The sequence below is a fragment of the Homo sapiens genome, chromosome 15, assembly GCF_000001405.40.
Source record: "Homo sapiens chromosome 15, GRCh38.p14 Primary Assembly".
Taxonomy (NCBI): domain Eukaryota; kingdom Metazoa; phylum Chordata; class Mammalia; order Primates; family Hominidae; genus Homo; species Homo sapiens.
In genome coordinates, this window is record NC_000015.10 from 50,671,345 (window position 1) to 50,684,728 (window position 13,384).

At 42.4% G+C, this 13,384-nt stretch overlaps 2 protein-coding genes across 6 annotated transcripts in view, besides 2 other annotated features; both read right to left on the reverse strand.

Moving 5' to 3' along the window:
- TRPM7 (transient receptor potential cation channel subfamily M member 7) overlaps nucleotides 1-13,384 on the reverse strand; it is a 129,640-nt gene that overhangs the window by 114,187 nt on the left and 2,069 nt on the right. The window lies entirely within an intron of this gene.
- The window catches only part of LOC128092252 (uncharacterized), a 37,916-nt gene that overhangs the window by 22,543 nt on the left and 1,989 nt on the right, over nucleotides 1-13,384 (reverse strand). The gene's annotated exons all lie outside the window — the stretch shown is intronic.
- Nucleotides 5,713-6,213: an enhancer, noted in NCBI's record as "H3K4me1 hESC enhancer chr15:50969254-50969754 (GRCh37/hg19 assembly coordinates)". NCBI's record gives its function as "activates a minimal SCP1, AML or CMV promoter by ChIP-STARR-seq in naive H9 embryonic stem cells {active_cell/tissue: H9 hESC(naive)}" and the evidence as "EXISTENCE:reporter gene assay evidence [ECO:0000049][PMID:30033119]".
- Nucleotides 6,214-6,714: an enhancer, noted in NCBI's record as "H3K4me1 hESC enhancer chr15:50969755-50970255 (GRCh37/hg19 assembly coordinates)". NCBI's record gives its function as "activates a minimal SCP1, AML or CMV promoter by ChIP-STARR-seq in naive and primed H9 embryonic stem cells {active_cell/tissue: H9 hESC(naive and primed)}" and the evidence as "EXISTENCE:reporter gene assay evidence [ECO:0000049][PMID:30033119]".

Genomic DNA, 13,384 nt, shown 5'->3' on the forward strand with positions numbered 1-13,384 from the left:
ATAATGTCCTCCAGGCCCATCCAGGTCACAAAAAACAGAATTTCCTTCTTTAAGATTGAATGATATTCCTTTGTGCATACTGTCATGTGCCACATAACAACACTGAGGTCAATGATGGACCGCATATTTAACAGTGGTCCCATAAGATTATAATGGACCTGAAAAATTCCTATTGCAGGCTGGGTGCAATGGCTCACACCTGTAATCCCAGCACCTTGCCGTGGGAGGAGGAGATGAGAGGACTGCTTGAGGCCAGGAGTTCAAGACCAACCTGGGCAGCATAATGAGATCCTGTCGCTACAAAAGTTTTTTTTAATTAGCCAAGCATGTTGGTGCCTGCCTATAGTCCCAGCTACCTGGGAAGCTAAGGTGGGAGGATCATTTGAGCCCAGGAGTTTGAGGTTAAAGTAAGCTATGATCACGCCACTACACTCCAGCCTGGGTGAGAGAACTTGTCTCGAAAAAAAAAAATTCCTATGGCCTACTAACATCGCAGCCATCATAAGTTCATAGCACCAGGACTACTTGGGTATTTGTTTTGATATTGGTGTAAACAAACCTGCACTGCCAGTTACATAGAAGTATGGCATATACAACTATGTACAGTACATAATACTTTGTAATAATAAATGACTATGTTACTGATTTATGTATTTACTAGACTACGCTTTTTATGGTTAGAGTGTACTCCTACCTATTTTTGTTTGGTTGGTTTTTGTTTTTGTTTTTTGAGACGGAGTCTCACTGTCGCCCAGGCTGGAGTGCAGTGGCATGATCTTGGCTCACTGCAAGCTCATCTCCCGGGTTCACGCCATTCTCCTGCCTCAGCCTCCTGAGCAGCTGGGACTACAGGCAACCACCACCACACCCAGCTAATTTTTTGTATTTTTAGTAGAGACATTTTCACCATGTTAGCCAGGATGTTCTGGATCTCCTGACCTCGTGACGTGATCCGCCCACCTTGGCCTCCCAAAGTGCTAGGATTACAGGCGTGAGCCACCTCGCCCGGCCACTCCTACCTATTTTTTTTTTTAACTGTAAAACAGCCTCAGGCAGGTCCTTCAGGAAGTATTCCAGAAGGCACTGTTATCATAGAAAATGACAACTCCATTCATGTTATTGTCCCTCAAAACCTTCCATGAGGCAAGATGAGAGGTGGAAGACAATTCTACTGATGATCCTGACCCCGTGTAGGCCTAGGCTAACGTGTATATTTGTGCCTTAGGTTTGAACAAAAAGTTTAAAAAGTAAAATAATTTTAAAATGTTGAAATAGAAAAAAGTAGCCAGGTGCGGTGGCTCACGCCTGTAACCCCAGCACTTTGGGAGGCTGAGGCAGGCGGATCATCTGAGGTCACGAGTTCGAGACCAGCCTGATCAATGTGGTGAAACCCCATCACTACTAAAAATATAAAAATTAGCCAAGTGTGGTGGCGGATGCCTCTCATCCCAGCTACTCAGGAGGCTGAGGCAGGAGAATCGCTTGAACCAGGGAAGCAGAGGTTGCAGTGAGCCACTGCACTCCAGCCAGGGTGACAGAGTGAGACTCTGTCTCAAAAAAAAAAAAAAAAAAAAAAAAAAAGCTTATAGAATAAGTATATAAAGAAAATGTTTTTATGCAGCTGTACAATGTGTTTTATACGAAGTGTTATTACAAGAGTCAAAAAGTTTTAAAATGTTTACAAATCTGTTAAATTAAAAAGTTACAGTAAGCTAGCGTTAATTTATTATTGAATAAAAAAATACTTTTTATAAATTTAGTGTAGGCTAGGTGTACAGTGTTTATCAAGTCTACATAAGTGTAATGCCCTAGGCCTTCACATTCACTCACCACTCACTCACTGACTCGCCCAGAACAACTTCCAGGTCCACAAGCTCCATTCACAGTAAATGCCTTATACACCTATACTATTTTTTATTTTTATTGTTTTTTACTTATTTCCATAGGTTATTGGAAACAGGTAGTGTTTAGTTACATAAGTTAGTTCTTTAGTGGTGACTTGTGAGATTTTGGTGCACCCATTGCCCGACCGGTACACACTGCACCCTATTTGTAGTCTTTTATCCCTGACCCCCTTCCCACCCTTTCTCCCTGAGTCCCCAAAGTCCATTGTGTCATTCTTATGCCTTTGCGTCCTCATAGCTCAGCTCCCACTTATGAGTGGGAACATATGATGTTTGGTTTTCCATTCCTGAGTTACTTCACTTAGAATTAAGAGTCTCCAATCTCATCCAGGTCACTGTGAATGCCATTAATTCATTCCTTTTTATGGCTGAGAAGTATTCCCTCGTATATATATATATATACCACAGTTTCTTTATCCACTCGTTGACTTGATGGGCATTTGAGTTGGTTCCACATTTTTGCAATTATGAATTACGCTGCTATAAACATGCGTACGCAAGTATCTTTTTCTTATAATGACTTATTTTCCTCTGGTAGATACCCAGTAGTGGGACTGCTGTATCAAATGGTATCCTAAGGAATCTCCACATTGTTTCCCATAGTGGTTGTACTAGTTTACATTCCTACCAGCAGTGTAGAAGTGTTCCCTGTTTACCACATCCACATAAATGTCTATTATTTGTTGTTTTATGTATTATGGCCATTCTTGCTGGAATAAGGTGGTATTATTGCATTCTGGTTTTCTGTTTTGTTTCTTGAGATGGAGTTTTACTCTGTCGCCCAGGCTGGAGGGCAATGGCATGATCTCGGCTCACTGCAACCTCCACCTCCCAGGTTCAAGCGATTCTCCTGTCTCAGCCTCTGGAGTAGCTGAGATAACAGGTACCTGCCACCACGCCCAGCTAATTTTTGTATTTTTAGTAGAGATGGGGTTTCACCATGTTGACCAGGCTGGTCTCAAACCCCTGACCTCAAGTGATCCATCTGCCTCGGCCTCCCAAAGTGCTAGGATTACAGGCGTGAGCCACCATGCCCAGAAGCCCAGCTAATTTTTGTATTTTTAGTAGAGATGAGGTTTCACCATGTTGGTCAGGCTTTTCTTGAACTCCTGATCTCAGGTGATCCACCCGCCTCAGCCTCCCAAAGTGCTGGGATTACAGGGGTGAGCCGTGGCACCCAGCCAGTGCCTGGTTTCTAATAAATTTCTGATGTCACAATGTATATGTTTTTGTACTATGTATCCCTTAACAAATTATTGTTGCTATTATTATTTTTAATGGTTTTTGTCTTTTAACCTTCATACTAAAAATACAAATGATTTGCATACCACCATTATGGTATTAGAGTATTCTAAATTAACTCTATTTACATTTACCAGTAAGTTTCATACTTTTCATATTCTTTTTGTTACTAATTAGCAACCTTGTCTTTCAGCTTGAAGAAATTCTGTTAGCATTTCTTGTAACACAGGTCTAGTCTCTGAGCTTTTGTCTGGGAAAATCTTCAAATCTCCTTCATTTCTAAAGGAGAGCTGTGCCAGGTACAGTATTCTTGGATAATGGGTTTGTTTTTGTTTTTTTGTTCTTCAACACTTCGAATATATCATCCCCTCTACTACATCCCATAGTTTTGGGTTTTTTCCAAGAGCTGGAAACCAGAGTTGTTTCTCATTGGCAAATCCACCCAAAACTTTAGCAAACAATTTGCTAAAAGTCACTTAAATTGTGTCACTCCCATACTCACAGATTTTTACTAAATTTTATGCCTACAGGGACACATAATGACATTAGCATGTTTCAAGAAAATCTCCTGGCTGGGCACGGTGGCTCATGCCTGTTATCCCAACACTTTGGGAAGCCGAGGCAGGTGGATCACCTGAGGTCAGGAGTTTGAGACCAGCCTGGCCAACATGGTGAAACCCAGTCTCTACTAAAAATATAAAAATTAGCTGGGCATGGTGGCGGGCACCTGTAACCTCAGCTACTCAGAAGGCTGAGGCAGGAGAATCGACTGAACCCAGGACACAGAGGTTGCAGTGAGCCAAGATCACGCCATTGCACTCCAACCCAGGCGACAAGAGCAAAATTCCATTTCAAAAAAAAAAAAAGAAAATCTCCTACAGCCTTCCCTACCTCATTCACCAATTTTGTTTATTTCAAAAACTTACTACCTCTCATTCTGTTTATGTAACAGCCAAATGTACATACATTCTTCCCACACGTAGCATTCTCATCATTTACGGCCTTCACTTGTTACACAGGAATCGGCTTCACAAATCCAATATTCACATACCCCAGCTGAAAGTTGTAAATATCACCTAATGATAAAAAAAAGTTTTTATAGTTTTTGAAATTCTAAGTTTCTTCTCTGCCATCAGTTACCCAATCAAATGTGCCCTGGTTATAAATACATATAAAAATCCTAGTTTTATACACTTTGCTTTTTAATTTTGCTAGGTTGCACTACCAGATTTTACCAAGAGGTGGCAAACTACAAACACAAATCTGAAAATTCCTAAATTTGTATGTTCCAAGTAATGTAAAAAGTAACTATATCCACAGAATGCTAGTAGAGCAGGGAATCTTAAAGATCAGTTGGTGATCTTCAGTGGTTAAATAGTACAGATTCTGGAATCAGACTGGTCTGAGTTAGGATCCCAGCTCTGCTGTTTACTATGTGTGCAACCTTGTGCAAGTTTCAGAGCCTCTTTTTGCTTCCTTACCTGTAAAATAGGATAACAACAGTACTTACTCACAATGTTACTCTGGTGATTAAACAAAATGATCCATGTAAGTTGTTTTAGCACAATGCATGGCACATAGTCAAATTTCAACTATGATGGTGATCACTTCAAAACTCCTTAAATTATAAATTCTTACACCAGTCTACCAGCAATAAGGGACATGTATTACAAATAAACCTAAGCACACCTTACTCTCTAAACAAATCACTACCAGCACATCCTTCCTGCCTAGATGCTGCTAGCAAAAATTGGGGGAAAAAATTAAAGATTCCTAAAAAATTCTGCTGTTAAGGTAACATGTGGAAATCAAATTTTTTTTTAACAAATACATTCTATGATTATATATATTAAAATTAGAAAATTCTAGCTATGGAGAAGTAGGTCCTATTAGGCTAACCATCCCTCAGATAACCACCATAAATTCTGGACAAAAGATAAAAAAGAGGCTAGACACAGTGGCTCACACCTGTAATCCTAGCACTTTGGGAGGCCAAGATGGGAGGACTGCTTGAGGCCAGGAGTTTGAGACCAGCCTGGTCAACACAGCGAGACCTCATCTCTATCGTTTAAATTTTTTTTTTAATAAAAAGATAAAAAAGACTTGAGGACACTGAAGAGCAACCAAAAGCAAGCAGAAACCAGACGGAGTCTATACTTAGAATAAAGGAATGGTATTGAGTGAGTTTCCCAATTTTTAAGGCTTTTTGCCTGAAAACAGTCCCCATCCTATGCCTAGTGAACAGCAAAATATCAATAGAAATCCCACAGTCTTACTGACTTATAGAACCAGAATACCCAGTTCAAGGTGAAAACAGCAGCTGGAAAGTGATGGGAAAGTTTCCGCAAGAGTTGAGAAAAGGAATCCTAAATACTTAATATTAATTCTACACAAATCTCTCACTGACCCATGAAGATCGTACACATGGGGCAGCCTCCAGGCAGCCCAGCTAAATAAAATAACTGAGCAGATATTCCTGCTGCCCATTGTAGGAGAGACAGTTTGGAGTTTGAGTACAATGAAGTTAATCAACAACTGTCTTAGTCGGCTTGGGATGCCACAACCAATACCACACAGACTTGGTGGGATAACAACTGAAACAAATTTTCTCACAGTTCTGGAGACTGAAAGTTCAGGATCAAGATTCCAGGAGGGCCAGTGTCTGATGAAGGCTCTCAGACAGCTGCCTCCTCACTGTGTCTTCACACAGTGAAGAGGGAGTGAATAAGCTCTCTGGTATCTCTTCTTCTAAGGACATAAATCCTATCAGACCCAGGGCCCCACCCTCATGACCTCATCTACCCCTGATTACCTCCATCTCCCAAAGTTCTCATCTCCAAATACCATCACACTGGAGGTTAGGGCTTCAAGATATGAATTCTCGGGGAGCGAGGGAGATCACATTCAGTACATAACAACAACAACAACACACACACACACAGAGCACAGGATTAAAAGAGAACCCAGAGGCTGGGCGTGGTGGCTCACACCTATAATCCCAGCACTTTGGGAGGCCAAGGCAGGCGGATCGCAAGGTCAGAAGTTTGAGACCAGCCTGACCAACATGGTGAAACCCCATCCCTACTAAAAACACAAAAATTAGCCGGGTGTGGTGTCACGCGCCTGTAATCCCGGCTACTCAGGAGGCTGAGGCAGAAGAATTGCTTGAATCTGGGGGACAGAGCTTGCAGTGAGCTGAGATCACGCCACTGCACTCCAGCCTGGGCAACAGAACAAGACCCCGTATCAAAAAAAAAAAAAAAAAAAAAACAAAAGGTAACCCAGAGCCTCTACTAAGTAACAATCCCAATGTCCAATATACACTCCAAAATGACTAGATATGGTAATGGACAGGAAAATGTGACCCATATTCAAAAGAACGGTAATCAAATTAAAAGAAATTGCCTACTAATAAAGTTCATGTGCTCAAGAAAAGAAAGTTAAATGACACTAAAGACCTAGAAATTGGCTGGGCGCAGTGGCTCATGCCTATAATCCCAGCACTTTGGGAGGCCGAGGCGGGCGGATCACGAGGTCAGGAGATTGAGACCAGTCTGACCGATATGGTGAAACCACGTCTCTACTAAAAAAATACAAAAAATCAGCCGGGCGTGGTGGTGGGCGCCTGTAGTCCCAGCTACTCGGGAGGCTGAGGCAGGAGGATGGCGTGAACCCAAGAGGCAGAGCTTGCAGTGAGCCAAGATGCACCATTGCACTCCAGCCTGGGCAACAGAGTGAGACTCTCTCTCAAAAAAAAAAAACAAAAACAAAAACAAAAACAAAAACAAAAACCAACACCTAGAAATTCAGAGTTATGTGATAAATTTGTACATGGGTCAACATGCCTGCCAAGGGTGACCAACATGCCTGCCAAGGGTGACACAGACAATGACAAATAAGACTAGCCTAAAGCAAAATGTTGAAATAAGCTGGCACTCTCTGACTTCCCCTATCAGAGTTCAATACATTTGACTTTCTGACACTCTTACAGACCCTACTCTCTAGTTCCATTCTTTAAAAAAAAAAAATATATATATATATATATATATATACACACACACACACATATACATAATTTTATTATGTCACAGAGTTCCACTCTTACTCTAAACTGGCTGCCAACTACTCAACTAATTAATAATTAGATATTACTGACATTTTAGATACGAACCCTATGAGAGTTTTAAAGATATTATTGAAAAGCATCTATAATTCTGTAACAATTGGTAGAAAAGTTCTATATATTTAAAAACTTAAGGCCAGGTGCAGTGGCTTATGCCTGTAACCCCAACACTTTGGGAGGCCAAGGCAAGAGGACCACTTAAGCCCAGGAGTTCAAGATCAACCTGGGCAACAGAGTGAGAAACCCATCTTTGCAAAAACAAAAAAAAAAATTTTTTTGAGACGAAGTCTCGCTCTGTCACCCAGGCTGGAGTGCAATGGCGTGATCTCAGCTCACTGCAACCTCCACCTCCTGGGTTCAAGAGATTCACCTGCCTCAGCCTCCCGAGTAGCTGGGACTACAGGTGCGTGCCACCACGCCCGGCTAATTTTTGTATTTTTAGTAGAGATGGGGTTTCACCATGTTGGCCAGGATGGTCTCGATCTCTTGACCTGGTGATCCACCCGCCTCAGCCTTCCAAAGTGCTGGGATTACAGGCATTAACCACCGCACCCAGTCAAAAAAATTTTTTAATTAGCCAGGTTGGTGGTATGGGCCTGTCATTTTAGGTACTTGGGAGGCTGAAGTGGCAGGATCACTTGAGCCTAGGAGGTTGGGAATACAGTAAGCCATGATGATGTCACTGCACTCTGACATGGGCAACAGAGCAAAACACTATCCAAAAAAAACAAAACAGAAAACTTGGACGCTTGGACGTTCACACTGCGAGTAAGCCATATCAACCCATTATCTATCAGTGAGCAGGGTGTTGATACTTTTGTTGATACATTCATGATAGGTTTCTACAGGTTTTATTTCATTTATATATATATATATTATATATATGTGTATATATATAATATATATATATATATATATATATATATTTTTTTTTTTTTTTGAGACAGAGTCTTGTTTTGTCACCCAGGCTGGGGTGCAGTGGCGCAATCTGGAGTCACTGCAACCTCCATCTCCTGGATTCAACCAATTCTCATGCCCCAGTCTCACAAGGAGCTGGGATTACAGGCGCACACCATCACGTCCAGCTGATTTTTATATTTTTAGTAGAGGTGGGGTTATCTACGTTGGCCAGGCTGGTCTCAAACTCCTAGCTTCAAGCAATCCTCCCGCCTCAGCCTCCCAAAGCACTGGGATTACAGGCAAGAGCCACCATGCCCAGTCTTTTCCTGCTGCTTTTAACAAAGAGTTACACCCATCCAGAAATCTATTTAATGACTTTTCTAATCTACTAAGGATTGCCCCAGAGTATGTGTCTCTGCACTTGTCAAAATAAAATGCATGACCGGGCGGTGGCTCACGCTTGTAATCCCAGCACTTTGGGGGGCCAAGGTGGGTGGATCACTTGAGGTCAGGAGTTCGAGACCAGCCTGGTCAACATGGTGAAACCCTGTCTCTGCTAAAAATACAAATATTAGCTGGGCATGGTGGCGGGTGCCTGTAATCCTAGCTACTCGGGAGGCTGACAGAGGAGAATCACTTGAACCCGGGAGGCAGAGGCTGCAGGGAGCTGAGATTGTGCCACTGCACTCCAGCCTGGGTGACAGAGCAAGACTCCATCTCAAAAAATATAAAAATAAAAATAAAATAAAATGCATACAGACTAATGCGTGTAATCCCAGTACTTTAGGAGGCCAAGGCAGGTAGATCACTTGAGACCAGGAGTTCAAGGCCAGCCTGAGCAACATGCCAAAACTCTGTCTCCAGTAAAAACACAAATTTTTAAAAAATAAAAATAAAAACACAAAAAGTAGCCCAATGTGGTGGCGCAACCTGTAACCTCAGCTACTTGGGAAGCTGCAGCAGGAGAATGGCTTGAACCCGGGAGGCGGAGTCTGCAATGAGCCAAGATCGCACCACTGAACTCTAGCCTAATTGACAGAGAGAGACACTTGTCTCAAAAAAAAAAAAACAAAAACCAGACAACTGAGTTGTAAATTATCTGTCCTAAGGTTAATACACAGAAATTTGATAGTAAAGGAAATTCTATTAGGTTTCATTATCATTTGAAGAAAATCAAGTACAGCAAACTTTTTAAGTTATAACTTTTTTAAAAAAAACCTTAACTTTTTTAACTTGACATAACACCTGTCATCTGAGGTCTTACAAATATACATGTCCCTGAATATCAAAAGCCTTCTCCAAGTTTCTGTAGTTTGGCAGGTCAACACCTACTCTACCACTTATTAGCCTTGTGACCGTTGGCAAGTGATTTTTGATTCTCTGCTCTTTATATATAAATAATGGAGAAAACAGTATTGACATCACAGAATTTTCCTGCGGGATTAATATATGTAAAGTGTCGGGCGAGGTGGCTCATGCCTGTAATCCCAGCACTTTGGGAGGCCAAGGCGGGCAGATCACGAGGTCAGGAGTTCGAGACCAGCCTGACCAACATGGTGAAACTCCGTCTCTACCAAAAATACAAAAATTAGCCGGGCATGGTAGCACATGCCTGTAATCCCAGCTACTCAGGAGGCTGAGGCAGGAGAATCACTTGAACCCGGGAGGCAGAGGTTGCAGTGAGCCAAGATCACGCCACTGCACTTCAGCCTGGATGACCGAGCAAGACTTCGTCTCAAAAATAAATAAATACACACACACACACACACACACACACACAAAGCATTCAGAGCAATGGCCACAGCTAAATGCCGACACATTAGCTAATGCAAAAATGTGCCTAAAGCCTATTACACACTTCTCTTAGTCCAGAGTATCTTCCGGGTACTGGGTATGATAAATTAGACTAGGAAGACTATCATTTCATATAGTAAAGGCTAATGTATAGCCCTATCTTTCTAGTCTAATTATGTTTCTCCAGTGTCCTCCTAACAGTAATAGTCTGCTTCTCAGGTAACTTTCCTCCTGTTATCTCCAGCATACTACCAAACTGCCAGCAGAAAGCAGAAAACTAAGCCTGTTAAATTTCACTTTGCACACATTTTTCAATCAGTGAACTCTGTCTCAGGGTTGCTATATTATTGATGACTTAGCTCAAAAGCTTTTTGCTCACTTTCCACAAGGAGCTTTGTTTCCAAAGGTTAAGGTTTCCAGAAGTCTGGCAGCTGGATAGTTAAGGTGTTATGTTATTGACATGTTTATATGATAGTAAGAGGGGTAAACAGTGTTTCACAGACTTTAATCCTAATATTGCTCCTTAGGTCAAGTAGGGAAAAGATTATCATTTGCCTTTTACAGATTGAGAAGATAACAGTGATGCTCATAAAAGACTGTGCGGTGGCTCACGCCTGTAATCCCAGCACTTTGGGAGGCTGAGGTGGATCACTTGAGGTCAGGAGTTCAAGACCAGCCTGGCCAACATGGGGAAACCCTGTCTCTACTAAAAGTACAAAAATTAGTCAGGCATGGTGGCAGGCACCTGTAATCCCAGCTACTCGAGAGGCTGAGGCAGGAGAATCACTTTAAACTGGAAGGCACAGTTTGCAGTGAGCCGACATCGCGCCACCGCAAGCCTGGGCAAAAGAGCAAAACTCAGTCTCAAAAAAAAAAAAAAAAAAGGACTGTGACCTGGCAAAAATATGTCAAGAGTCAAGTCTTGACTTATCAACTTCAAAAAACTGCTTACCTCCACACACCAAAATTCCTTTAACAGGGTTCTAAAACCCCTACGTGGACAGAAAACTAAATACACAGTCCCAGAAAAACAGGTTAAAAAAATCCAGAGCATGAGGTCAAGAGATCGAGACCAGCCTGGCCAACATGGTGAAACCCCATCTCTACTAAAAATATAAAAATTAGATGGGCGTTGTGGTGTGTGCCTGTAATCCCAGCTACTAGAGGCTGAGGCAGGAGAATCACTTGAATCCAGGAGGCGGAGGTTGCAGTGAGCCAAGATCGCACCATTGCACTCCAGCCTGGGCGACAAGAGGGAAACTCCATCTCAAAAAAAAAAAAAAAATTCCAGAGCAATTTCCTAAATCCAAAATTAACTGTACCAAAAAGTCAACAAAATCTCTAAAAGAACTAACAATTTAAATTAGAACTAATCATATTTGTATAAAGTACAAGAGGTCCAATTCTCCAAGTCAAACACTGTATTCACATTCAACTAATCTAATAATTGCAAAGCATCATCTAAAAGTGACACCCATCTTAAGTTCTTTTTACTGATTCACATAAATGACTCAGTTAAAATCCCCATAGTCAAGTAATGCTTATGTCCTAAACTAACCTCAACCACTGAATTTTGCTTCCCGGTACCAAACTTTTTTTTTTTTTTTGAGACAGGGTCTGGTTCTGTTACCCAGGCTGGAGTGCAGTGGCATGATCTCAGCTCACTGCAACCTCAAGCCATCCTCCCACCTCAGCCTCCCAAGTAGCTGGGACCACAGGTGCGCATCACCATGCCCAGCTAATGTTTTTTTATTTTTTTTGGTAGAGACTGGGTTTCGCCATCTTTCCCAGGCTAGTCTTGTACTCCTGGGCTCAAGGGATCCACCCGCCTCAGTCTCTCAAAGTGCTAGGATTACAAGCATGAGCCACTGCACCCTGACCCAGGTACCAAACTTAAAGCATTTGACATTTAACAGGCAGTCACTTAAAAAAAAAAAACTGCAATTTACTTATATGTTGAAAGATTTCCCAAAAAGAAAGGAGAAAAGGAAACCCAGAATGAAATAATAGATCAATGACAAAAACTAAATGACTACTACAAAAACTACTACATGAATAACATATGGGGAACTTCACAACTGAGAGATCAGGCATCAGACAACACGAATCCACTGGTCAATCTTAACATTTAAAAAAAAAAAAAGAAGCCAGGGTCAGTGGCTCACGCCTGTAATCCCAACACTTTGGGAGGCCGAGGCGGGTGGATCACCTGGGGTCAGGAGTTTGAGACCAGCCTGGCCAACATGGCAAACCCTGTCTCTACTAAAAATACAAAAATTAGCCGGGTGTGGTGGTGGACGCCTGTAATCCCAGCTTCGGGAGGCTGGGGCAGCAGAATCGCTTGAACCAGGAGGCAGAGGCTGCAGCAAGCCAGGCACTCCAGCCTGGGTGACAAGAGCAAGACTCTGTTCCAAAAAAAACAAAATAAAACAACAACAACAAAAAAAACAAGTGCAAGACTCCTTCTCAAAAAACAAAGACAGTATGTGCCTCTTAATGTAATGCAACAGAAAGTACATAGTACTATCTATGAGTATTGTCAAAGTATGAAACTAGAATCTGATCAAGTCTTTTTTTTTTGAGAAAGACTCTCACCCAGGCTGGAGTGAATGGCGCAATCTTGGCTCACTGCAACCTCCGCCTCCAAGTTCAACGGAGTCTCCTGCCTCAGCCTCACGAGTAGCTGGGATTACAGGTGCCCATCACGACGCCCTGCTAATTTTTAGTAGAGACGGGGTTTCACCATGTTGGCCAGGCTAGTTTTGAACTCCTGACCTCAAGTGATCCGGGATCAGCCTGTCGCCGCCTCCCAAAGTATGGGGATTACTGCGCCCCACCTGATTAAGTCGTTTTTTTTTTTTCTGAGACAGAGTCTCACTCTGTCACCCAGGCTGTAGTGCAGTGGCAGGATCTCCGCTTACTGCAACCTCCACCTCCCAGGTTCAAGCGATTCTCCTGCCTTAGCCTCCTGAGTAGCTAGGATTACCACGCCCGATTACTGATCAAGTCTTTAGATTAACTACTAACTAGTTCACAGGAAATAAAGAGTAGAAGCTGGGCAAAGTGGGGCATGCCTGTAATCCCAACACTTTGGGAGGTGAGACAGCCAGATCACTGGACATCAGGAGTTCAAGACCACCCTGGCCAATATGACGAAACCCCATCTCCACTAAAAATACAAAAATTAGCCGGGTGTGGTGGCTCGCACCTGGAGTCCCAGCTACTCGGGAGGCTGAGGCAGGAGAATCACTTGAACCCAGGAGGCGGAGGCTGCAGTCAGCCGAGATCGCTACACTGCACTCAGCCTGGGCAACAGAGCGAGACTCGGTCTCAAACAAAAAGAAAAAAGAAAAAAAAATACAGAGGAGAAAGAAACATGTTACATGACACTACAGGGATGCATTCAACAAAATCCAAACTG